The 11941-nt window shown below is 36.7% G+C and overlaps 1 protein-coding gene across 53 annotated transcripts in view; it reads left to right on the forward strand.

Moving 5' to 3' along the window:
* DMTF1 (cyclin D binding myb like transcription factor 1) overlaps positions 1-11941 on the forward strand; it is a 43873-nt gene that overhangs the window by 30536 nt on the left and 1396 nt on the right. For 38 of the 53 annotated variants that reach the window (NR_024549.2, NR_024550.2, XM_047421106.1 and 35 more), the window contains 7 exons: positions 1409-1637; positions 2841-2992; positions 5104-5313; positions 7957-8039; positions 10210-10365; positions 10737-11114; positions 11696-11840. Coding sequence is in view for 51 of the 53 variants with exons in the window: in XM_047421106.1 (XP_047277062.1) it covers positions 1409-1637; positions 2841-2992; positions 5104-5313; positions 7957-8039; positions 10210-10365; positions 10737-11114; positions 11696-11840 (1353 nt within the window). In the remaining 2 variants the exon portion in view is untranslated. The remainder of the gene's footprint in view (positions 1-1408; positions 1638-2840; positions 2993-5103; positions 5314-7956; positions 8040-10209; positions 10366-10736; positions 11115-11695; positions 11841-11941) is intronic. The other 15 variants (XM_047421123.1, XM_047421131.1, XM_047421126.1 and 12 more) reach the window with 1 other exon arrangement.

Raw genomic sequence — 11941 nt, forward strand, 5'->3', positions numbered from 1 at the left:
CTTCTGTAAAGTAAAGAGATTAGAGTAGGTGGTCTCATAGTGCCCTTTTAGCCATAATGTTCTCTGAAGGATCCACAATCCATGCCCACTGTTGCAATTAAAAAAAAAATTTCTGAAGTTTAGCTTTAGCTTCCAGGGCATATACATTTTGACCTTAACCCCCTGCTCTAAAAATGAAATCAGAATTCTTTCCTGCTTAACTACTGCACTATCACTGTTACCTGCAGGGCAGTGAGAACATAACTTCTACCAACTTTGTCATTCTGTGACATGGCCAGCTTAATGAAAGAAGCAGGGCTGTAAGCTTTAGATTTAGGATAGGATCTCAGAGTTTCATGTAAGATGCTGTGAGTACAGAACCCCTTTTGGTAACAAAATTTGGAAGGACACAGTGGCATTTCCTGATTGCCAACCTGAGGGATTGATTGATCTGCCTGCTTCCTTCTCATGTTGTGACATACAGCTGCTGATGAGGCCATGCCATGAAACAGCACAGTCTCAAAGTAGTCCCATCCTTTCACAGCATGCTAGAATAGGAGAGTAGAACTTTGTCTTGAATCCATCCACAGTATTCATAATTGTGCTTGGCATATAATGAAAATTCAATAAACATTTGCTAGATGAATGGAATCCCAAAGCAAGCACAGTCTTTTTGAAATTTTCTAGAGGTTTTCAGCTAGTAATAACAAAATGGAAACAGAGGTAAAGAAGATGAAAAAAAATGGCTTTTTTCCCTTTCTGTTTTTCTGCTCTAGCTCCATAAGAAAAAGACAGAGAGGAACATTTGGGGTTATCTATTAGTGGGTTTATGGGTTGAGAAAACACAGGAATAAAAGTAAATACTTGTATCAGACTTTACTAATATTTCATCACAGTAGCTTGGAGTTGGGATAGTGAGGAAACAAGATGGTAGAAACCTAGTTTTTACTAAAATAGGTTGAGCCCATTGGTGTAATTTCCCTTGTCCCTCATCATTCATTCCTATAAGTAATGGCCTCTTGAACTTACTTTTGCAGAGCAGGGAATCTTAGGTGACAGTAAGAAAAAAAGCATGCCATTTCTTGTCTGTCAGCCATTGACGAAGCTCTTCCCACTTCACTGTTTATAAAGGACTTAGTGTAACTTGAGAATACATTCTTCTTTGTAGTTATGTTTTGGGTGGTTTTTCTTTTCATAATTGGTCAGTGCTTTCCATTAGGATTCTTTATTTTCTTTTCTACTGAGACCCTTACTGGGCTAGTAAAATGAAACTGTCTTAGTGGGTATATATGGTTTTCCACCAGAGGGTCATTCAGAAACAAACTCTTAGTACTATTGCTTACTTCCTATCAGTCCTTGTAAATAGAGGGCTGAATCAGATTTGTAAAAGAAGTTAGCAGTGGTAGTCTGGATGATTTCCTTTTTTCAGGGAAGTGGACAGAAGAAGAAGAAAAGAGACTTGCAGAAGTGGTTCATGAGTTGACAAGCACTGAGCCAGGTGACATAGTCACACAGGGTGTGTCTTGGGCAGCTGTGGCTGAACGAGTCGGTACCCGCTCAGAAAAGCAATGTCGTTCTAAATGGCTCAACTACCTGAATTGGAAACAGAGTGGGGGTACTGAATGGACCAAGGAAGATGAAATCAATCTCATCCTCAGGTTTGTGTCCTGAATCTTGTAATGACAAAAGCAACTTAATTTCTGTGGATGTCTTGATAGACTTTCCTCTTTTGGTTTTCCTGGATGCCTAGTGTCTGAAAAGTATCCTTTCCATAGAGCACTACTGTTTAAGATCTTAAGTATTTCATATTGAGCTCTTTTTTTGTGTTGTGTTTGTTCCTTTTTTTTTTTAGTGGGTTTAGTGCTCATGCAAAGTACCAGATTGAAGGCGTGGAGACTGAAGTCCTCTCTATATCCACAGAACAGGTATGGCACAGGCAGCGGCAGTGTAGCTTTTCCACTGTCCCACCAATGTGCCTCAGTCCTAGCCTAGGGGGAACACGTTTAGGATAAGAGGGCTGTTCAGTCTCCATGCCCTTCAATCCTTGGCTACTGTGCTAAGATTGCCAAGAAGGGGGCCCAGTCTGTAGTTACCTCCACACCTCCAAAGTAGACCAAATCAAACACATCCATTTCATACAAATTCAAAAAAGCTTTAAGATATCATAATCCCAGCTTATTTTTTTAAGTAGCTGGTTTAACCATTAAGATTTATTAACTAAAATGGGCAAAAATACTAGCAAGAAATTATTTAAGACCCTGAAGTAATAGAGACTGTCACCATGGCTACTCCCTACCGAAAATCAAATTGTCACAACAAAGCTAGAAAACGAACAGATTTTTTTAAACCTCAAATTTTGTTGTACTGTTGTGTTGTTTTTTGATTGCAGCTATTGCTTTTGTGTTATTTTGTTTTGGATTTTTTTTTCAACTAGTCATCTTTATAAATAGCTCATTTCTAAATATTTTTGCTTAACAATGGAAACGCTCAGATCCAGGAAGTAAATGACTTAGTAAATGCCACACTATGAAACATTGCATATATACAACTAAATCTGTTCTTATTCTAACCTTTAGCATACTCCTTTTCCTTCACAGTGCCTCATCTGGCTCTAACCATTTATAGTTTAGCCCATTGGTTGTACCTTTAATTAAAAGTGGTTGCTGTTGGTATTTCTTAGCTGTTAGCTCTGAAAGCAGATCTGCACTCCTGGAATCCTTTCCCGTGTAACTTAACAATAGCATCTCATTGGCATAACCTGCCATTCCCTTTATTTGCCAGTGCAATTACCTGTAGTCAGAGGAGGGGTTCTTATAGAGAAATTAATTTAATGTCTAACGATGCTTATTTTGTAACTGTAGGATAGCAGAACTTGATGTAGCTGATGAAAATGACATTAACTGGGATCTGTTAGCTGAGGGATGGAGTAGTGTCCGTTCACCACAATGGCTACGAAGTAAATGGTGGACCATCAAAAGGCAAATTGCAAACCATAAGGATGTTTCGTTCCCTGGTAATGTATTACTTACTTTTTAAGCTCCTCCCCTTTTCTTACCATATTTACTCCTTAGGAGTGAGAGGTTAGAAGTTCTTTGCCCCAGCTAGAGATATCATAGCAGATTTCTACTTACACCACTTCCCTGTTTCTCTCAGTAATTGTTTCCTTCCCCAGAGAAGAGTTAATACTGTTTGTAATTCCTAAAGCCCCTAAAATGAAAATGTACACACTTATTCTTGTTCTTCTACGTAAACTATCAGGAGGAAATAAAATCATGCCACATAACGATTTAATTTTTATGTTTTTAGAGACAGGGTCTAGCTTGGTTGTCCAGGCCGACATGCAGTGGTGTGATCATAGCTCACTGTAACCTTAAACCTGTCGGCTCAAGTGATTCTCCCACCTCAGCCTCCTGAATAGCTCGGACTACAGGCACACACCACCATGTCCAGCTATTTTTTTTCGTAGAGATGAGGTCTTGCCATGTTACCCAGGTTGGTCTCCAACTCCTGGGCTCAAGTGATCTTCCCAGCTTGGCTTCCCAATGTGCTGGGATTACCTGCATGAGCCAGCATAGCTGGCCACTCATAACCTTTCAGTCAACAACAGATGTCATACATAGTATTGGTCTCACAATATTAAAATACTGTATTTTTACTTTTTTTCTATGTTTAGATACACAAATATTTACCATTGTGTTACAGTTGCCTACAGTATTTGGTACAGTAACATGCTGTAAGGGTTTGTAGCCTAGGAGCAATAGACTGTATAGATCATCTAGCCTACGTGTGTAGTAGGCTGTACCATCTAGGTTTGTGTAAGTACACTGTGATGATCCCATGACAGAATCACCTAATGGCTCATTTCTCAGAACATATCCCCATCCTTAAGTGATTGATGACTATATTTTTATTTTGTACAAAGATGTACTTCTGAAAACCTAAGTTTAAGTCAACTTTTGTGAGTTGTATAATTTCAAATATCTTAGCTAGGTGTGTTAGAGAAATTCTGTGATAATTTTGTAGAACAAAGGCTCTGTAATTTTCTAATTTTATTAATTATATAAATCTAGAGATCTTAAGTTGGGTTTGCTTAAAGTGAAGCATACTTTTTGTTGCCTGTTTTGCATTTAGGTATTAAACTTAGTTGTACAGTCTGTTTAATTTAGGTTACTAAATTTATTCCCCTTATTATAGCACTCTTAACTTCCATTATTCCAAAGGAAAATTTAATGCTGAGGAACTTTGCCTTGATGAAAATGTGGTTTTTTAAAATACCCAGGTATAGGCCAGGTGTGGTGGCTTATGCCTATAATCCCAGTACTGTGGGAGGCCAAGGCAGGAGGATCACTTGACGCTAGGAGTTTGAGACCAGCCTGGGCAACATAGCAAGACCCCATTACTACAGAAAAAATAAAAACCAATTAGCCAGGCATGGTGGGCATGTGCTTGTAGTCCCAGCTATTGGGGAGCAAGAGCCTGAGGCAGGAGGATGGCTTGAGTCCAGGGGTTCGAGGCTGCAGTGAGCTATGATTATGCCACTCCAGCCTGAGCAACAGAGCAAGACCTTGTCTAAAAATAAAATTAAATTAAAAAATCCAGTTAGAGAGGATAAGCGTATTTTACGAATAGAGCAAAGCAAAGTCTAGAATTGGCTTCCCTGCGCAAGAATACCATATTACTGTTTGGAAAAGAGAAGTTGCTACCTCTAGACCAACAGTCAAGGGCCCTTCAGCCCTGGCGGGGAAAACATACACTATTCGTTTAAAAAATGAAAATAAGCTGTTTAGCATTGCCAGTATTCTTCCTAAATAATAATCCTATCAAGACACCCTAGAATAGAAAATGTCCTGTTTCCATGTTCTTTGTAATGTCTACCTTTTTTTAACACTATAAATCTTAGATGGCAAGAATAACAATATTAAGAATTAAAATTTGTTACGATGTTTATAAAAATCTCAGGATATGTTGTTTTTTAAAATATCTTATTTTTATAAGCTCTCACATCCAGTATGCAGTTATTTATTCCAAATACTTTCCCTCCTTACCTCCCCCCACCTCCCTTGCTGCTTAGATGGTGGTCTGTCGGAGAATCAATGTTCTTTTTGTCTACCCATCTCCCTTCAGTCTTAATAAAAGGTCTTAAACAGTTACATGAGAACCAAAAAAACAACCCAACGCTTTTGGAGAATAAATCAGGATCTGGAGTTCCAAACAGTAATACCAATTCCAGTGTGCAGCATGTTCAGATAAGAGTTGCCCGCTTGGAAGATAATACAGCCATCTCTTCTAGCCCCATGGCAGCATTGCAGATTCCAGTCCAGATCACCCATGTTTGTAAGTGTTTGATCTTCAAGATTCCTTGCTGTTTGATCTATATGATTTGGTTAATGGCTCTGATGTCTTTTGGTTTTCTAGAATGTTAATAGAAATTTACCCAAGTCGGTGAACTGAAGGACATCTAAGATATTTTGTTTAGTTCAGTTAATATTTGCACACACAATGAATGTGTGACAGGAAGGATGTATAAGCAGTTGCCCAACCATTATAAACCATTTGAAACCATCTTAATTTCTAGATTTTGTAATTAATGACTTAATAGAAATTATTAAAAATAGAAATTAGAATGAATGATAGAAAACTACCTAAAAAGCAGTCAATCAAGCAAAGAAATAGAATTCACCAACTGGTATGTCGTGTAGTAATTTCACTAGAAGACATATCAATTGGGGATTGATTTGAGGTCGTTTGGTAAAGAAATGAGTTTTGGCAAGGTTAAGAATGATTTTCTTCAGGGAGTAAAGGGCCAGTTTCCTATTGGGAACTGTGTTTGGACAGTTTTATGCTTAATGAGATTATGGGAACCCAGCCATTGTTAGAGTGAGAACTTTTTTCTTCTTTAGGTATAAGTCAAATTGATCTTTATCCCTTCCCGTCAGTCTTGAATTATAGTGACAAAAAAAGGAATGAGGATGAAATTCTCAGAACCATATTCTTCCTTGTTTTTGGTCTACATATGCTACCTGCATTTGAAAAGATAACCCAAGAGTATTCCAATCACTATGTTAGTCTCAACCAGGTGATTATTGGCATTTTGAGCGACAGGTTTTTGCAGACTGTCCTTTACATTGCAGGATATTCAGTGTCCTTTGATCTTGCCCACAGAATATTAGTAGTACATGCCAGTCATTATGAGAAACAGAAACACCCTGCATGTTTCCAAATATACCATTATGATTCCCTGGTTGAGAATCGCAGAACCACATATTGGTGTTTAACACCATATATCCATGTACATTGACTGTCAGAGTTACCTTAGAGACATTTAAACTAACCATACCTCTTATTCTTAAAATCCTAATCTGAATTTGGTTATCTTTCTACCAGTGTAATCAACAATGAAGGATTTCTTTTCGTTTTTGTTACAGTCTGAGGATTGCAAAGCAACTAAAATTACTAGTCCAAGTAAATATGAGAGTTGCTATTGGTTATAAATTGATTGGGCATGTTAGTTTTTCTTGGCTATTGAGTTGACAGTACCCATTGGGAAGACAAACATTTTATAAATGATACCTTAATATTGATAGCATCATTTTAAATAGTATTTAGAATTTTCTCTCTTACAGCAAGAAAAATGAATATAGTTAAGTGTTCTACAATCCACCTATTACCTGTAGCATTCTAACTAAAATCTCTTTTCGTTTTTTAGGTTAGGGAACAGGGATCAGCAAATTTCTTTATGTAATGAGCCAGATAGTAAATATTTTAGGCTTTGCAGGCCACATAGGTTTCTGAGGGATAGTCTTTGTTTAGCTTTTAAACAACCCTTTGAAAATGTGAAAACCATATTGGCCTTAAGCTACATTTGTCCCTGACAGTAGTTTGCTAACCTTGATTTAGTTTTATCTGGAATCACTTCAAATTATTATAGCTGTGATCTTATGGATCCATCAAACAGTAAGATGAATATTACAAATCAAGTGCATTTCTATTGGTAAGGGCATTAGATTCCTTTTAAATAGCTGAGAAGTGTTGTAGTCAGAATTTAATAAACTATAATAAACATTACACAGTAAAAGTTCCAAATCATATTTCACATAATTTACCTATAGGTATGACTGCAAGCGCCAAAAAAGATGACATTTCTAGCATGTTCTATTTAACCTTGAGCAGACGTTGATAAAGTCTGATCCTCAGTTGACACACATGTAAAGACATTATACTGTCTGATCTTTATTCAGTCCCCAAATGTGGTCTTCGGAAATAATGCTCTCTTAACATTTATTTGTGTTTACAAGCACTTTTGATCCTCACAGCTGTATGAGGTAGGCAGGACAGGTAAAAAAAAAAATACCTGAACATTAGTTTATAAAGTAAGTTATTTACCCAGGTTTTATACTGCTAGGAAGTGATTAAAGCCTAGTATTTTTGGACTACCAGTCCAGACATCCATAGTGCTTACCCATATATACAAGAAAACTAGTTTTTACCAAGTTCCTGTCTTTTTGCAGGTTGGTCTTAGTGTGTTCCTCTTTACTTCCTACCGTTAGAAACATTTAATCATGTATACCAAGGGTTAGCAAACCTTTTCTATAAAGGAACAGATATAGTAAATATTTTAGGCTTTATGGGCCTTCTGGTGTCTGTCACAGGTACTCAACTCTGTTGTAGTGCTAAAGTAACCACAGAAAATATATAAACCAGTAGGTGTGGCTGTGTTCCAATAAACTTTATTTACAAAAACTGGCAATGGGCTGGATTTGTGGGCCATAGTTAGCCCACCCCTGCACTATATGTCATGCAAGACAAATTCATTAGATTCCTTATCTCTCTTAAGAAATGTAAATGACTTCAGGTCTCCAGGCAAATTATTCAATATTAAATTGCCTTTATGATAATTGAGTACACTAGAGAAACTTAAATTAACAAAACATTTATTGTAAATTATTCTTACCACAGCTTACCTTATTCTTACCACAGCTTCAGCAGACTCTCCTGCTACCGTTGACTCAGAAACAATAACACTAAACAGTGGAACACTACAGACATTTGAGATTCTTCCCGTGAGTAACGCTTCATATATATTGGCCATTTTTATGCATGAGAAAGATCAGTTGCTATCACTTTTGTGTTTCATTTGCTTATGATTCATAAAAGTCTGAGGCCAAATGAATGGTAGACTAAATCAGACTTCTACTTTTATAATTTTAATCAGCTTTTCTCTCATCTGTATATAAACCAAAATGTTATCTATATGAAAATGACAGTGCTAATGAGTATATACATACTGTGGATTTGTACTGAGTTATAATTTATAACCAAAAAGTTCATATTGGTTATTTGAGAAAGTCTGTGGACAAACTAATCATGAGCAATTTAACAACATTCATTCAGTAAACACTGTACTAGCCACTGGGGATACAAAATGTAACAGTCCCAGTGCTAAGTGGTTTAGCTGCTTTGGAAATGTGTTGTAGCTCCTGAAGAGGTTAAGCACAGTTACCAAAGGATCCACCTAAGAGAAATGAAAATATCTGTCCAATAAAAACTTGTACATGAATGTTCATGGCATTAAACAACCAAAATGTCTAGCAACAGAAAAATGGATAAAATGTGCTATTGCCATGCAAATATTACTCAGCAATGAAATACTGAAACATGGTACAACATTGATGAACCTTGAAAAATAGGCTAAGTGAAAGAAACCAGACAACACAAAATATCACATAGTACTGGGCTCCCATTTATTTGAAATGTCCAAAATAGGCAAATTTGTAGACGAAAAGTAGATCAGTGGTTTCCTGCAGCTGAAGTGTAGGTTGAAAGTGGAGCATGACTGAATGCCCTTTCTAAAACAAGTAAACCTATAATTCATATTTCCTTAAGAAAATAAAAATTTTATTAAATCAAGATTTAATTTACCATGAAGAACACAGAGTTATTATTAGTGCAAGACTTTATTCATCCTCTCCCCAGCCAAATCCCAAGAGGATGGCCACCTTTGGAACTTTTTACTGGCAGCTTACTTAACCTAAGTCAGTCTCCTAATCTAGTGGTCTTTGAAATGGGGATGTATAAGACAACCATTTGACACAGGTAGAAAACTTTTACTTTTTTAAGCCCATTCCCCTGGTAAACAATATATGTACACACCTACATATTTGAGGTATGTGTTCAGGTTTTTACTTATGGGGTCACAATATTTAGGCTTTCCCTTAATTTATTAACAGGATAATAATAGTACTCCAGCTTCAAAAAATTGTGAAAATTAAATGTTAAGTATATTAAATAAAACACATATAATATATACATGTACATATAAAGTATTTAAAATAAAGCCTCACATTTGTGATTAATATATGCTACCTTTAGGAAAATGATTTAACCTTTATGGAAAGGAAAAGAAATTGAGTCCTCACAGAGTTCCAGGCACTTTCATAATCATTTCTAATCCCAAACACTTTCCATGAGAAGTAGTTACTGTCTCCACTTTAGCAATAAGGAAACCTATATTTGGGGATTTAGTACCCAGGAGAGTTGTTTCAGCTAAGTACACAAGACTGAAAAACAGGCTACATGATTTTAACTCCCAGACCTATTTTAGAGTGCAAATACTTTTTTAGAATATTAAGATAAACCTAAATCAAATTTTTTATATAGAAGCTTATGGTCGTGAAAAGTTTATTGGTCAATTTTATTATACTTCCTTTAAAAATTCAAAAGAAAATGTGTTATTTAATAGTTAACCAGCTTTTTCAGATAAACATCTTTCTCCTTCAGCAGAACATTGCTAATTACTATTTCTGTACCCTGTCCCTTTCTATAAAAAATTTCCCAAAATTATACCGTGAAAAAGTGTTCAAGTAAACACTGCTGTTGTGCCTTTTTTTTTTAAACTGGGGGCCTGCCAGTTTTTACGTGCTACAAAGAAAGAAAAAGAGGGGTGATTGGGTGTTGTGGGTTACTGCACTGGAAACAGTGGCTCATACAACTGTCTTGGTGCCCTGAAACAAATAGCTGAGACCAGACCATAGAAATACACAGGAGCAAAGAGCAGCCTCTTAAACCTTCAGGCTAGGTAATGACTTGAGACGATTATGCCCTACATTGTATTACTTGTTCGCACCTTCACAATGGGTAAGTACATTTGTGTCTAGTAAACTAAACTCAGTCCGTTTTTGTATATAAAAGTAGACTTAATCATTGTTAAACTATCTTTCCTTTTTCCTTTAGTCTTTCCATCTACAGCCCACTGGCACTCCAGGCACCTACCTACTTCAAACAAGCTCAAGCCAAGGCCTTCCCCTAACTCTGACTGCTAGTCCCACAGTAACCCTGACAGCTGCTGCTCCTGCTTCTCCTGAACAGATTATTGTTCATGCTTTATCCGTATGTTACATAAATTACTTGATTTTTGAGTACCTGTTATAGACCAGGATTAGTTGATAAGGACCAAAATAGAAGGTAGTTATCTAAACAGTTCTTCCTACTGCTGCTGTTCCAGGCACAGTGTTATACACCATCACTCTGCCTTCACTGGAGTGTATGTTTCATCCCTTCTCTTTATGTAAGATGGCTATACATTAGAATAGGGACATTAGAAGAACAAAGGCCCTAGCAAGTAAAGGACAAGGGTTCTAGAAAAATAGTGATAAAAGTATTTACAGTTTGAGAGGTAAGAGATGTGGGGGGAGACAGTGAGGTACCCCCATAAATGTCATTTGATTTACAACTTTAACAGGTTCTTTAATGTTTTATAGCCAGAACATTTGTTGAACACAAGTGATAATGTTACAGTGCAGTGTCACACACCAAGAGTCATCATTCAGACTGTTGCCACAGAGGACATCACTTCTTCCATATCCCAAGCAGAACTGACAGTCGATAGTGATATTCAGTCATCTGATTTTCCTGAGCCTCCAGACGCCCTAGAAGCAGACACTTTCCCAGATGAAATTCATCACCCTAAGATGACTGTGGAGCCATCATTTAATGATGCTCATGTATCCAAATTCAGTGACCAAAATAGCACAGAACTGATGAATAGTGTTATGGTCAGAACAGAAGAAGAAATCTCTGACACCGACCTTAAACAAGAGGAATCACCCTCTGATTTAGCCAGTGCTTATGTTACTGAGGTAAGTTGTACTTTAAGAACAACTGAATGGATTCTTGCCTTGAGCCTCAAACCTGCAGTTTGGGAAACTTTTTTCTGAAGACTCATGAAATTAAGCTCAAACCCCCAACCTCACACCTCACAAAGTGTTGTCACTGGCAGAAATGGGCAGGCAGTGATCCTGTGGCAGTCAGGAAGAATAAGAAAACCATGTTCTATCTTACCACAGTTCCTCACTAAAACTTTTTCCTCTTTACCTACAATACATTGAGAAATGTTTGTTAGAACCCATAGAAGCATTTTCCTGAGTGGTTAGTAATCTTTGTGGTTCAGCCTAGGAACATCATCCTACACTGTAACAGCATTGTTTCTTCTGTTATATTCAGCTGACCTATAACTGACCTAGTCCTTATGAGTTCCTTTTGTTAAAAGTATGTTAGATTGTGAGGTCATCTTTTGTCCCTGTGAGACCTTAACTTTTTATTTTATATTCTGATTTTTAAATGGGTTATGTTTAAGTCTAACCTATACATACCTATACATGGGATTTTAAGGAAGACTAGTAAGAATATGAGTCAATATTTTTTTTTTAATGTTATTTAGGGTTTAGAGTCTCCCACTATAGAAGAACAAGTTGATCAAACAATTGATGATGAAACAATACTTATCGTTCCTTCACCACATGGCTTTATCCAGGCATCTGATGTTATAGATACTGAATCTGTCTTGCCTTTGACAACACTAACAGGTACTGTAATATAATACTTACTATGTGCCTGATAAATTTTAGATGGAAAAAAACAGACATTTAATTAACTTGTTTCAGTCTTTCTTGATCCAATAAGCTAC

Source organism: Homo sapiens, chromosome 7 (assembly GCF_000001405.40).
Source record: "Homo sapiens chromosome 7, GRCh38.p14 Primary Assembly".
NCBI classification, from domain to species: Eukaryota; Metazoa; Chordata; class Mammalia; order Primates; family Hominidae; genus Homo; species Homo sapiens.